Source organism: Homo sapiens, chromosome 12, assembly GCF_000001405.40.
Source record: "Homo sapiens chromosome 12, GRCh38.p14 Primary Assembly".
Lineage (NCBI taxonomy): Eukaryota > Metazoa > Chordata > Mammalia > Primates > Hominidae > Homo > Homo sapiens.
This window is the reverse complement of record NC_000012.12, coordinates 132,337,870-132,352,411: the sequence shown is the minus strand read 5'-3', so window position 1 is coordinate 132,352,411 and position 14,542 is coordinate 132,337,870. Positions and strand designations below refer to the sequence as shown.

The following is a 14,542-nucleotide window of genomic DNA, read 5'->3' as shown; positions in this document are numbered from 1 at the left end:
GCTGCAGGCTCACAAGAGGGGTCTCCATGCTTGTCTATGGCGGTGGCAGCTCTGCGAATGCCCCACGAGGGCGTTCTGGATGAGGGGGGGCTCTGGCCTCTGGCAAAGCAGTGCAGCGTCCAGGACACCAGCAGCCGCGGCCGTGCAGGGGGTGTGGGGGTGACCGGTGGTGCCAAGTCTGGAGCACAGGAGACACAGACACGACCACCACTCACATCGCCTTCGCTCAGCCCACCGAGCTCCGCCTCGGCCTCCTTGTGACTTGGAGGGAAAGAACCACCTTCAGATTTTTCTGCCTATTTTGCAGATGAGAAAACCTGATACCTGTGGGAAGTCCCACGCTGGCAACAGGGGGATCCCAGGCCTGCACTTTTGAAACAACAAGAAAAGCCGTCCCTGGGGGGTCGCGACCATGGTTAGTTGACAGCTGGGTGAGCCTGGGCTGAGGGAGGGGGATTAGGCAGAGCTCCCTGCAGAGCTGCAGGAACGGGGATGGGAGCACCTGGCCTGCTGCACCCAACCCTGCATCTCAGCTCAGAGCCCGGCCCAGAGCCCAGGGACTTGCTCAGCCAGGCCAGAGGTCCAGGAGCCCTTGGGTCCTTCATGAGTTCCTGGGGCAGGGGCTGGGTAGCCCCGTGGCCTTGGTCCTCATGCCGGCCTCTAGGGCTGTGCCAGGATGTCTAAAGAGGCCACCAGGCTCTCCCAGCTTTAACTCTTAGTGTCCATCCCTCCTGTCCCCAGAGGGCCACGGCTGTGCTCAGCTCAGAATCTCAAAGGACAGATGCCTGGTGAGATGGGGACACAGATAGGGGGACAGGGGCCATTCCGTTGCCTAAGAATCCAACCTAAGGGACGAGGCCAGGCTGGGTGGGTGGGGAAGTGCAGGGCCCAGCCCCCGAGGGTCCACTTTCTGGTGATTCCAAGGAGGCACCTCGGTTGGCAAGCAGCCTGTGTCTAGCTGCTGCCTGTGTGCTCACCGAGGACAGTGTGCTCACCCTGCTTCCTGGAGAGGGAAATGGAAGCTGAGAGCATAAAGTGACCTTTCAGCCCCAGAGGAGACAGGCTGGGCTGGGGCATTTCCAGACAGGTCAGCCAGGGAAGGGCATGGGTGTGCCCAGGCTATTTTGATGACAAAAGCAGAACCCAACCCAAGGTGGCAAAAAGGGTGAAGGGAGCTGATGCAGCTGATGACAAGCAGCAGAACCCAACTCAAGGTGGCAGAAAGAGCGAAGGGAGGTGACGCAGCTGGATTCAGGTTCGCAGCTGGATTCAGGTGATGCAGCTGGATTCAGGCGCAGCTGAGCACAGAGGCAGAGGGCATCCCGGGGACCCTGGCTCTGCCTCCAGCTCTCACTCTGCTTCCCTCCCCAAGCCCTGCAGTCCCAACCAGGCTCCCCGTTGCTGGTAAAGATGATCCCAGCAGCTGCTCACCACATCCCACCAGACGTGCCTACCCCACGGAAAAGAGGCACCAGTTGTCGGTCGTCTACAAACAAAGTCTAAGAATCGAGTCTCATTGGCCTGGCTGGGGCCACATGCCTAACCCTGACCCAATCCTTGGGCTGAGGGCTCGGAATATGTTAACAGGACAGACAAGTCATGGGCCATTTCTGGAGCTGGGAGTTGGGTCAACCTCATCCCAACCAATAGATTAAGAGAGGGCAAGGCCAGGCACAGTGGTTCATGCCTGTAATCCTGGCACTTTGGGAGGCCAAGGCGGGTGGATCACCTGAGGTCAGGAGTTTCAGACCAGCCTGACCAACATGGAGAAACCCCATCTCTACTAAAAATACAAAAAATTAGCCAGGTGTGGTGATGCGTGCCTGTAATCCCAGCTACTCGGGAGGCTGAGGCAGGAGAATCACTTGAACCCAGGAGGCAGAGGTTGCGGTGAGCCAAGATCGCACCATTGCACTCTGGCGTGGGCAACAAGAGCGAAACTCTGTCTCAAAAAGAAAAAAAAAGGGCAGCTTTTCAATGACATTTTGGAGGACAGTTACACAAGGAGGGAAAAATTGGAGGACAGTGACATGCCAGCCAGAGAACCATGGCATGAGCATCCTTCCTCAGCTAGACATGGAGCCAAAGCTAGCCGCACAGCACGAGCAAGTTTCACCAACTTCTTCAGGACTATGCCAGAAAGGCATTCTCAACATAATCCGCCTAATCCCCCACCCCCAGCTCTGACCCAATTTTACTAACTTGTGTGGACTGGATGTATTGAGAGAGCTCCCAGAGGGGTCAGAGGTACCAAAGAATCTGATGAGACAGAGTCTCTGTGTGTATATGCAGTGATGGTGGTGATAGTAGCAGGGAAGTTGGTAGTGATGGAGGTGGAGACCATGATGATAGTGATGATGATGGTGGTGATGGTGATGATGGTGATAGTGATGGTGATGATGGTGATGATGGCAATGGTGATGATGGTGATAGTGATGGTGATGATGGTGATGATGATGGTGATGATGATGGTGATGATAGTGATGGTGATGATGATGATGGTGATGGTGATGATGGTGATGGTGTCAGTGATGGTGATAATGGTGACTGATGATGGTGATGGTGATGGTGATGATGGTGATGGTGATGATGGTGACGATGATGGTGATGGTGATGATGCTGATGGTGATGCTGATGGTGATGATAGTGATGGTGATGATGATGGTGATGATAATGGTGATGGTGATGATGGTGATGATGATGGTGATGGTGACAATGAGGATAATGGTGATATGATAATGGTGATGATGGTGGTGGTGATGGTGATGATGATGGTGATGGTGATGATAGTGATGGTGATGGTGATAATGGTGATGTGATGATGGTGATGGTGATGGTGGTGATAATGGTGTGATAATGATGGTGATAATAGTGATGGTGATGGTGATAATGATAATGATGATGATGATAATTATGGTGATGGTGGTGTTGGTGGTGGAGTAGGTAGTGGTGGAGATTATGGTAATGATGGCAAAACTTTGTCCTGAAACAGGAGATCTGAAGAGAGGTCAGGGATCTCTGTAAAAGTGATTCCAAAAGTGAAAGTCCACAAGCCAGGGATGTAAAATAAATGGCTGATACGGGCTGGATGGGAATTGTGGGAAATTGGATTTTGTGCATTCTTCTAAAAGCAGCAGCACTTACTGAGGTCCACCACTTTCTGTGGTGAGGAAACAGGAGCTCTACGCAGCCACATTTTCTAATACTTCTACAGACACCAGAAATCCTGCAAAATATTCTGCTTTGCAAATATTGGCCAATAACTCAGAAACTTAAAGCAGTGTTGGCGTGCCACAGAAGACGTATTCACTGGAAACACTGAAAGCCTCTTTTTAGAGTGCAGGTGAAGTGAAGAAGAGACAGAAATCAAGGGCCTTGGGAGCAAGACCCTTGCCCTCTGCCCGCTGCATTCCAGGAAGGTGGGCCAGGGTCCCTCCCAGGCCTCCATCCCCCAGGGGACTCCAAGTTCCTCCAAATCTGTCTTCCCTCCACTTCTGAGGCCTGGGGAGTCCTGGGTCCCAGGGGTACCTCCTTAGAGAAAGCAAGTGGGGGCTGACTGAAGGGGGGATCCCAGGGCTGTCCCGGGGCCTGGCTCCATGGGAACCGTAGCAGCCCTGTTGTGTAACGTGTTTGACATTCAAATTAGAATGGTGTTTGGGAAAACTCACTTCCGCGGAGGCCTGTAATTGGAACCTGTGGGAACATTTACACTTATGGAGAATTAACAAAAACTTTATTGCTGCAGTTAAGAGGAAACCTTGGGAATTTCCTCATGAGGGGCTCTGAGAGGCCCCTCCCAGCTCCTCAAAGGGCCGATGAAGGAGACAGAGCTCTGACCAGGAGGAAAGGCCTTTTCTCTGGACCTTGGCCACCGGGGCAGAAAAGGATTCTGGGACAGAGGAGAAAATCAGAGAGAAAGAGATGGAGGGAAAGAGGTGGTGGAGACTGGGTTCTGGGTCGGGGCGGCCTCCTTGCTCTGGCTGATGGTAACTGTGGCTGAGCTGCTCGTGGCTCGTGGCTGTAACTGTGGCTGGTGCGGCCTGAGCTGCTCGTGGCTGGTCCGTGCCTTGCCTTCAACACGCATTTCCTCTTCAGTCCTTCTCGTGGCCCGGGTGGAACAGCATGGTCACCTTGCAGACACAGACAGGATGGGACGGCCCAGAGAGCTGAAGGGACTTGTCCGAGGCTGCATGCTCTTCACCGGTTATCCCAGGTTCACTTGCATTTCCCCACATTCACTGTGGGAGCCCCGACCTCCCAGGACCTGTGTGCGTGACCTTGGTTGGACCTGGGGCTGTGGCAGCCGTGAGGGGTTAAGATGAGGCCACACTGGAGTGGGATGGGCCGAACCCCACAGACTGTGCCCTGATGAAAAGGGGAGATACAGGCACAGAAACAGGCACACAGGGAGGAGGCCACGGGAGATGAAGCCAGAGACCGGGAGACACACCTAGAGTCAGGAAAGGTGGAGAACACCAGCCGCCCTGGAGAAAGGCGGAGACGGACTGCAGCTCCCACCTCAGAATGAAGCAGCTGCGTGGGCCCTGGCCTCCAGAGCCATAAGAGGGGACGTGTTTGCAGGTGGAGGCGCATGGCCAGCAAGGCTTGTTAGGCCGCCTGGCACGTGGACTCCGCGGCGGGCCCTGAACTGAACACCGGTGACCAGTTCCAGCCTCCGCCTCCCTGGCCCCGGCTCCTCTGTGTCGGGATGGGGACTCATGGCTCTCCCAGGTGTCTGTCATGAAATGAACTCAGCAGCGGGGCTCGGGTGGGGCTCACGCTGTGTGGGCATTGCTATGGGGTCAGCGCCCTGCACGCTCCCTGCATGACTCTGCCAGGGTCAGGTGGCTGTTGGTGTTTGACAGGTGAAGCGAGGTTGGGCTGAGGCACGGGAAGGCGGGGTAACTTGCTTGAGGTCACGGAGCCAGACCTGAGCTCAGGCGTGTCCCCAGTGTGGGTGTCCAGGACACAGAAGCCTGTAAGTGTCCCCCCCCAACCTTGAAGGGCAGCCAGGGGCCACCCCGACACCACCACAGCATCAGAATGCAAGGAATCCAAGGTGTACCAGGCGGAGGCTGGGGGTGCGGACGGCTGTGCCCAGGTCACAGGTGCGACCAAATGGACTTCTGCTGCCTGGAACAGCGACCACCAGGGTGCACGCGGGGCTCGGAACGGCACTTGAGTATCTTCGTGTCTTCTCTGACCCCATGATCACCTCGGAAATCTGTGGTGATCTGCCAGCCCACCAGCAGAGAGTGGGATCATCTCAATGGACGCCCAGACACAGAAGAGCCAGGCAGGGGCAGCAGAGCCACCAACAAACCCACAGCCAGCCACCGATTCACGGGTGAGCCCAGCCAAGTCCAGGGGGACCCACAGGGCCCACAGATTCACGGGTGAACATGGCCAAGTCCAGGGAGACCCAGAGCCGGCCACGGATTCACAGGCCCAAGCAAGTCCTCAGAACCCACAGCCAACCCACAGATTCGTGAGCAAAAGTGAATATTTCCTGCTCTTCTCTGAGGATTTGTGTGGTTGTCACACAGTGTAACTGTGGCAATAGAAACGGATTCCTAATTCCACAGATCCAGGCGGTTGTTTCGCATTCTTACGGATGACATAGAAGGCGCCACAGCATCCCCACAGGCCACGCAACACGGTGGTTCAGAAGGGCTGCGGGACTCAGACCCACAGCGACAGCCTCCTCTGAGGGCGGCCCTGACCTCCCAGAGTCGGCCGGCTCAGAGGACAGCTGCCTGCCAGTCCTGCGGCTCCAGAGGTGACAGTTTCCAGAATGCAGATGGCATGTCTTAGAAAGCCATTTCCTTCAGTAAAGTTAGAATAATTATACATGGTACTGAAATTATATAACTGTTATTACAGCTTGTTTAAAAATTATCTGGATTTAATTGATCAATTAGATTAAATTATGCAGTAGTGACAGTTGGCAAATGCCCAGGCCACAGCCTGCAGGATTTGAAAAGCCCACAGCCCTGGCCCCAGAGCCTTGAAGCCCGTGCAGAGATTTATTTTCTTTGTGAGGTTGTTACAGGTGATTCTCAGTGGTTCGTTTAAAGCCGAGAGCAGGTGAAGGCCCCTGAGACGGAGTCTCATGGAGCCCTGGAGGAGCCTCGTGCAGTCAGGTTCCTCATGGGGGCTGCACACAAGGAAACTGCAGCCGTCCATGGGCTGAGTCGGCTCTGAGTGTGGTCGCGGGGTGGGTGTCCTGGGCTCCTGCCCCCAGGCGACCTCTGCTCTCTTCCATTTTCCCCACCTGGGTCGTGCACCCACCCATAGAGCACCGGAGAGTCCCAGGGGGACGGTGCGGGGTCAGCATCCCCGGGTTCTCATTTGCAGATGGGAAGACTTTACCTATGATGGTCCCAGAGGGCCCGGCTTGGCTGAGGCACCCGCTGCCCTGTCAGTCACCTCCACGGGGCCTCAGCACATGGAGCCCACGTTGGCGGGTCCCAGCGACCGCTGACCACAGCATCACAGACATGCATGTGAATGGGCCGGGAGTCCTTGAGGGTGTACAGTGTCTGTGTCTGCTGCGTGGCCGTGAGCAGCCAGGTCAGGAGAAGGACACGGGGAGTCGTCCTTGGAGGGAGGAGCGCCGGGCAGAGGGGTTGGCGCGGGAGGGCTCTGGGTGGGAGCTGCCTGGAGGGCGGGAAGGCTGCGTGGCCTCTGTGAACACTAAGCCTTTGACTCGGGGGGAGGGGGCGCTGCAGGGTCAGGAGCGGAGGGCAGTGTAGTGACCTCAGTGTGGCGGCAGCTGCTGTGCCGGGGACCGACTGAGACCCGGGAGAGGCGAGAGGGCGGTGAGCTGCGGCCCTTGTCTGGGACCGACTGAGACCTGGGGAGGGCGGTGGGTGCTGCGGCCATTGTCTCAGCCGTCGTCCGGCTGAGAGACGAGGGTGCCTGGGGTCAAGGCTGGGCCGCAGAGGTGGCCAGAATTGGGCAGATTCTGCACTTAACCTGGGGGTGGAACCCACGGTGTTTGCTGACAGATTGGAAGTCAAGGGTCACCTTTGCCACCAGGCACAGCGGGGACAGAGTCACCGTTCACGGCGCAGGGATGGAGGGTCAGGCAGGTTGGGGCAGGCAGGTGCTGAGCTCCGGACGCTGAGTGTGGGGGCTTTGACCTCCTGCAAAGAGACCCCGAGGGTAAAGGCCGGGTTGTCGCCTGCCGCCCTCCGATAGCAGTGGGCCTCTCCCTCTCCACCTCCAGTCCACTGGCCTACACAGCCCATGAGGCCCAGACACTTCCTATTCTTGGGGTGGAACAAGATGCCTGCCAGGGGCCCGCGGCTGTACCTGGGGCTGCTGAGAAGAGGCCCTTGGTTTTTCAGGTGGGGAACTCTAGGGGGTAAGAGGCAAATCTGGAGCTGCTGGTAGAAACCCTTGGGGGGCCCTGTCCGGGAATAAAGTCAGCCCTGGGGCGGCAGGATGGAGGGGAGGTGGGAGGGAGCGGGGAAGGGGGTGCAGAGATGCAGACACATCCGCTTACTTGCTAAAACGTATTCGTAATCCCCAGATCAGTACCGGGGTCTTTCCTGGTCATTCACAGGCGTGCACAGAGCTTCTGGAAGCCGCGTCACCCACGTGCGTGCCTGGCCGGGAAGGAGTGAGGCCGCACCCGCCTTCTTGTTTCCGCTCTCGGAGTAAACGTGCGTTCTTTTTAGAGTCCTGTCATTCACATTTTCATGCTCTTTGTCGGTGATGTTGCAGCTTAAAGTAGCCTCAGGAACAGAGCTGAGGTCCTCTCGAGTGACCCTGAGTGCAGGAGCTGTGACATGCGATGGAGACGCTTCGCTCAGGCCTGTGTAGGTGCTGTTGGCCGTGAGTTCAACGTTAATGAATCAACTCTATACACTAAATACAGTGTCTTTAAGCAGAAACAGACCAAAGTGACAGACTGATGGGTGGTGAAAATGTGGTGACCAGAGGCTCAAAGGAACCTGATCTTGTTCCCTAAGGACCAGAGGCTCAGCATCTGCCCGCGCGGTGGTGACGCTGCAGACCGTGGCCACCGAGAATGGGGAGAGTCAGCCATATGCACCCATGGAGGGATCACGATGACTTCATTTAACTCCTGGATCCAGCTGTGCCCGAGGCCCTGGACTTACTACGCAAGTCCTGGTTCTAGAAATCAACTTCTTTCCTCCTTTGTTTAGGCTGGTTTGTGCTGGATCTCTGCTGCTGCTGACAAAATCTACCCTAACACAAAATCCCGTCGGGCCCGAACACCAGGGTGATTTCTTTGTTCTAAGAAGTGGCCTTCTAGGTTGTTACAGAGGGACCTTCACTGGGCTTCCCAAGAACTTTTTCAGCCGGACGCCTTGGCCAGCAGCAGTGGTCCGCACAGACAGGCTTGCTTTGTGCTGTTCAGTAGCTGTGAACAGCAGGAGTGGGGAGGGGCAGAGGAACAGAGATCCTGTCCCGCCTCCTGCAGGACAGCACCCCCCGCCCCGCCCTGAGGACCCCAGAGGATGCACAGGACATTCAGACTCTGCTTCCTCTCCCTCCTCGCCCGCTCTCCAGCTCTGGCTTCTCAGCCAAACTCCCCAAAGATGCGTCGCAGAGCGGAAAGATTTATGATGGTCATTTGTACGCACGAGGCGCTCACAGACGCCGCACTCCTGTGCCGCTTTTGGTTTTATTTAGTGTGAAGGAGCAAGCTGTTCCAGCTCACATCGGGGAGCCTCATAAATCATGCGTGTTGGAGCACCTTCCAGGGGCGGCCTGTTCTCTCCAGTGGCTGCCCGTCAGCACTGGCATGGCATGGAGCAGAACATCCCTGCTCAGCTCAGATCCTGGGCACAGAAAAGCTGTACTCAGCAAGGGCTTAGAACAGCAAACGAGGGAGCACTCACGTTTCCAAAGTTCCTCTCTCTGTCCATCCCTTGTGAGGCCTCTGCCCTGGGGGTTTTTGCGACCTGCTAACACTTCACCCAATTTTTACACAACTCAGTCTCGCATTTCACCATCCAGTTCAGATGTGGTTTCCCCAGAGGGAGCAGCTCCCCACCACCCTCCTGAGGTGGGCAAAAGATACACACACACTCACACATACACACATACACGCACACTCACCATAGCACTCACATACACATGCACACACAGACACGAACATGCTTGTGCACATGCACGTACTCATGCATGTGTGCACAGATGCATCTGCACTCACGCTTGTACACACATGTGCACACATGCACACACGCACACATTTTGCATGCACACACTTGTAAACATGCAGATTCACGTGCACACATGCTTGTACACACATGCATGCACTTGTACACACATGCATACACGTAAAGACACGTATACACACATGCTCACACTTATGCACACATCTGCACATGCACATGTGCACACGTGCTTATACACACATGCATGCACTTGTATATACAAGCTCACACACGTGTGTACACATACATTCACACACTTGCACACCCATGCACACACTTCACAATGCACACGTGCATTTTCACATATGCACATGTGTGTATACACACGCCCACAGACACATACACACATGCACACACTTTGCACACACTTATACATGCATACATGAGCACACAGACACACGTGCACACTCAGTGCACATACTTGTACACACACATGCACACACACAGATACATGTGCACACACAGGGTCCCCGTACCCCAGTCTCCTTCACAGCACTCCAGCGTCTCCTGTGCTTTCTCTCCTGAGGGCGGGGCCTTGCTGAGGGGGAAGCAGTTGAGTGGCAGGAGATAATTTCACAGCAAGTTCAGCTTCCTGTTCCCAGGGCCTAGGGGGGAGGTGGCCACAGACCTCTTCCTCGGAGGAGCCACTGGGAAGGACAGGCAGGAACCCGAGCTGAGAGCAGGTGGGCAGGGGAGACGGTGACCCCCAGGCCTCTCTCCTCTCAAGGGGCTGAGGGTGGAGCAGGGACGGAGGGATGCAGTGACTCCTGTGGCCACCAGGGAATCACCTGCAGAGGGCAGGACTCTCCTGAGGGGACACTGCCGGCCTCGCTGCCCTTCCCAGCTGGAATCCTCTGGGCTGGGAGGGGAGGACGGAGCCGCATCTGCAAACCGAGGCCTGGGATTGAGCCAGGGCGAAGGGGAAGGTGAGGTGGCAGCTGGGTGTGCGCAGAGGTAGGCTCAGTGAGCAGCTCCCTCCAAGCCTCCACCGCGAGGGAGGTCACGGAGAAGGGGAAGGCAGGCTGGGTTTGGGAAGGCGGGTGGCCCGGTGCATCAGAGGACACCTGCTTCCTGCACTGTCTTTGTTCCATGAATTCATTTTTAGGGCAACAAAAGTCATGGCTCTTTTGTACATGCAAAGAAAATCATTTCTGGTGTTTTCCCATTCCCCACCCCGTGGGATTTGATTGGACCAAAGTGGTGCACGGAGCAGGACAGCGAGAGACAACGCCGTGTACGTGGCCCCCTTTGTCATACCTGCCCCGGGCATAGCCAAATCCTGGCCCCGGGCGCCCACTGCAGTGAGGCCTTTCTGCTCTGCGGTGAGGTCGCTGCATCCCAGGCTTGCAGTGGGGGACGGGCCTCTCTGCACTCCCTGGCCTATGCCTGGCCACAGAGGCGGCCGGTCAATAGTCCCCAGGGGAAAGCAGCGGGTTTCTCGGGGCGTGGCCAGGACTGTGGGCCTGTGTGTCTTCTGCATTCAGACAGGTCGCCTCACGGGTCCAATGCCGGGGTCTCAGCCACCCACAGGACAGAAAACCGGGCAGGTGTTTCCTGGACTTTGCGACCAGCTACAGGGAGGGGCATGGGAGGCGTCAAGCGGGAGGAGGAGGCTGCCTGCCACGTGTGCTGTGCGTGGGTGCCCTGGAGAGGCTGCGGGAGGCCCTGTCTGGCCCGCACAGCTGTCGTGGTGCCAGGCACGCGCCTGGGGCTGCTCTGTGTAACAGTCTCATCTGCACACACTTGGCCCGGGAGGCGCCTGCGCCCAGACACCAGCCGACCACACGGAACTGACAGCCCTGGTGACTGTGCCGGGACTCTCGGTCCCACCCGAGCTCCTGGGAACCCCTCAGGTCACCCCCAGCCCCAGCCCAGCGGAAGCCTCCAGCAGGTCCTCCCCCACCCTCCCCCAATGTTTTACCCCCACCCTCCTCCAGTCCCTGCCTGGGTCCCCCAACCCCAAGTCAGATGTCGGCGCTCCACTCTGCCTCCGTCAGCCTCCCACATGCTCGTCAGCTGCCTGTGGCTGGTCCTCCCTCCTCGGGGAGACCCCCAAGTGCTCAGAGCCCATGTCTACACACTGCACAGCTCTGAGCAGCTCATCCACATGCTGGAGCACACACGGTCCACAGCAGGCAAAGGCTGAGATGCCAGGAATCAGGCACGGGAAGGAGGGTTCGTCTCGGAGCTCCAGCATGTTCCAGGGATCAGGGGCCAGGGTGAGCATGCGGGGTGGATATTAAGGGTGTGGGTAATGGAGGAACAGAACGCAGCATCGGGCTGACTCTGGAAGTGGGCTCGCTACGCAGAGCTGCTGTGCTGAATGCCGCAGCCGGGGGCCAGGATTGGTGCGAGCTGTTTGTCTGGCTGTGTGGAACACAGGCCCCACGGTGGCCCAGTGAGAGGGCTGGAAATGGCGCACCTGCCTTGGTGTAACTGGAGGGAAGAATCCAGAGGCCCAGGGAGGCTGCAGTGTCAGGCCGGACCTGTCGTTAGACCTGCCGGCCACCCCAGAAGGGGCCCGGGGACAAGGCTGTCACCACGGCTGGGAGAAACACATTGGTGGGGGCCTCACACCTGGGAGGGCTCCGTGACGGCTCCTTCTGCAGGGCAGACCTTCTGGTGGGAAACGCGGTCACTGCCTCGGGAAGCAGGAGCACCACGGGATGAACGGATCCCGGGAGGCAGAGCCGTAGGCGGAACTCACCCACTGCCAAGGGAGGGCGGGAGGTGTGTCCACGTGGACGGCCAGGCCGAGTGGCAGTCAGGGTAGCCTCATGCGTGCACGGTCGTCCCCCTCATCATGGCGGGTGGGGGCTATTTCCAAGACCCCCAGTGAATGTCCAAAGCCCCAGGTGGTTCCGAGTCTCATACGCGATGCATTTTCCTGTAGAGTGACCCCGCGCGGGCTGGCAGTGTGCGCAGCATGGAGACGCTGGACGCAGGGAGGGTGCCCGGCCCAGGCAGGACAGAACCCGGCGGTGCGAGGGTTCATCACGCTGCTCAGAACAGCACGATTTAAAACCTGTGAGTGACTTCCTCCTGGACTTTTGTATTCTTGGCTGCAGTTGACTGTGAGTGACAGAAACTGGAGTGAAGCTGAAGGTGAGGGGACATGGTGGACCCGCGGCATCGGCGACCCACCACCGCACTCCTTCCAAGGACCGAGGGGAGGCCTCCCAAATCTTTACCTAATCGACATAAACAGGAAGGTTTTAGGTGAACAAAAGTCTAGCGCAGTCATCAAACCAGTCTCGGCCCCTCCAGCAGGTCTCAGGTTCTCAGATGCGAGCGGTTTACAGACCAAACCCCCTCAGGAAGGGCCCTGGGCCCCCCAAAAGTGTGGGCTCCTCTTCCCCGCCCTGCCCAACGGGACCTGTGGGGCTTCTGCCTCAGTGACCGGGTCCGAACTAGACCTTTCGGGGACTCCTGGACACGGGCTCTGAAGGCTCTGAACTGACGTTGGTTCTGGGAGCCCCAAAGCATCACTGCGGCCCTCCAGTTAGAAAGGGGCTTATGGAGGGCAGGTGGCCGTGCCATTTTAGCTCAGGTTTGACACCACAGGCCCAGTGGGTCCCGGGATGCACCCCAGGGCCATTTCCCCGCTCCAGGTGTGCAACTGGAGCAGACACACTAGAGCTGGCAGACTCCACGTCCGCTCCCTGCCCTGCGACGTGAGGGCTGGGTGGAGGGAGATGCTGGTGGGAGACATCAGAGCTCATTCTACCTTTTGAAAAAAGCCATAAATCAAAAGCAAGACCACATGGCCGAGGGGCCGCAGAGCTTGGTGTCCTCACCAGGCCCTTGGAAGATGCAGGGGTGGTGACCCACCCCCAGCCCCATTCGGCTCAGCCTCTGGCCTGCGCAGAAGACAGATGTGTCCTGGGGAAGCAGTGGGCGCCGGAGGCTGGCCCAGGTGGGGCCTCCAACTGCAGCTGCTGTGCCAGGTGTGGCTTCGCTGCGAGCGGATCCACTCACCGTGGTGCCGGCTGTGCAGCCGTTGATCCGGCTGATACCTTTCTCCAGCCCTGCCGGCGAGGCCCACCGGAGGCAGCCGGCCTTCAGCTGGGAAGGATGCGCCATGCCCTCCCGGCCCCACCTCGCCGCAGCCTCTGCCCCGGTCTCTGCGCGGCCTTCTCCCTCTGTGTGTCCATGCCCAAACTTCTCTCTTGCTACAAGGACACCAGCGGTCGCATCAGAGCCCACTTTAACCTGCTGTGACAGGGAGGGACGTCCAAGGAGCTGACGGGGAGAGCAAGACTTGCCGCAGAAGGGACCTAAACTTCGGCCACGCGGCGCTCCTGGGCCCCGGCCATGCATCTTGTCAGGAGGCGGACCTGGTGAAGGAGGAAGCATCCTGCCTGTGAGGCAATGCTGCCCAGGCGACACGTCCCTCCTAAGCAGAACATGATGTTCACTCAGGACGCCGCATGGGGACAGCCGGACACACACAGCTGCATCGATGCGGACCCAGCTCAACCCAGCTTAAGGGAGAGGAGGATTTTGTTCGTGCCACTTCTGGGAAGTCGGAGGCAACAGCAACCCTCCTCCTTGGAGCCAGAAATGAAACCTGTCACCCGCCGGCCCCTCACCCCTGTTCTCTCCAGATCCGAGGTCTCCTCTGGGGAGGGCCGGCTCTGTCTCTGTGCCCTCAGCCTGCTTCTCCACGTGACAGGCACGGCAGCGGCTGTGAGGTCGTGGTCTAGCGTGTCTCGCTCAGGGACAGCACACGCGTGGGCGGCCTCGTGGGGTCTGCTGGTGCACATGTTCCTGTGGACCAAGCCCTGCACCCAGGATGACAGTTGTGGGGCTATGGTGTGTGGGCCGTGGACCTGCTGGGAGGCTCTGCCTGTGGACGGGAAGTTCTAGCCCAAGAGAACTGTGAAGGCCGCCACAGTCGGCACCACCCAGAGAGGCGTCTGTGTGGCCTGTGGTGAATTTTATGTGTAGACTTGGCTGGGCCGCAGGGTCCAGACATTTGGCCAGACGTTTCTCTGGATGCTTCCATGAGGGTGTTTTCTGCGAGGGTGTTTTTGGATGAGACTGACATTTAAATCGTGGACTGTGAGCCGCACCGATTTCCCTCCCTGACTTGGGGGCCTCCTTGGCAGTTGGCCTTTGGACCTGAACGGCAGCACGGGCTCTTCCCAGGTCTCCAGCCTGAGGGTCTTCCCTGTAGATCTGGGGTTTTTCAGGCTCTGTCATCCCGTGGGCCATTCCTGAGAATGAGCTGCCTTCACATCTGCACATGTCCAGTGACTGTTCCTCAGGAGAACCCTGACACGCAAACCGTGAGCCATTCTCCTGCTCACACAGGGACGGGCGGCCGCAGCTGCTCAGCCGAGGCC

The 14,542-nt window shown here is 57.9% G+C and overlaps 1 annotated feature.

Moving 5' to 3' along the window:
• Window positions 6,984-8,183: an enhancer, noted in NCBI's record as "CDK7 strongly-dependent group 2 enhancer chr12:132920815-132922014 (GRCh37/hg19 assembly coordinates)". NCBI's record gives its function as "activates an origin of replication core promoter dependent on BRD2, BRD4, P300/CBP, MED14 and CDK7 cofactors, with strong dependence on CDK7, by STARR-seq in HCT116 cells {active_cell/tissue: HCT116}" and the evidence as "EXISTENCE:reporter gene assay evidence [ECO:0000049][PMID:35650434]".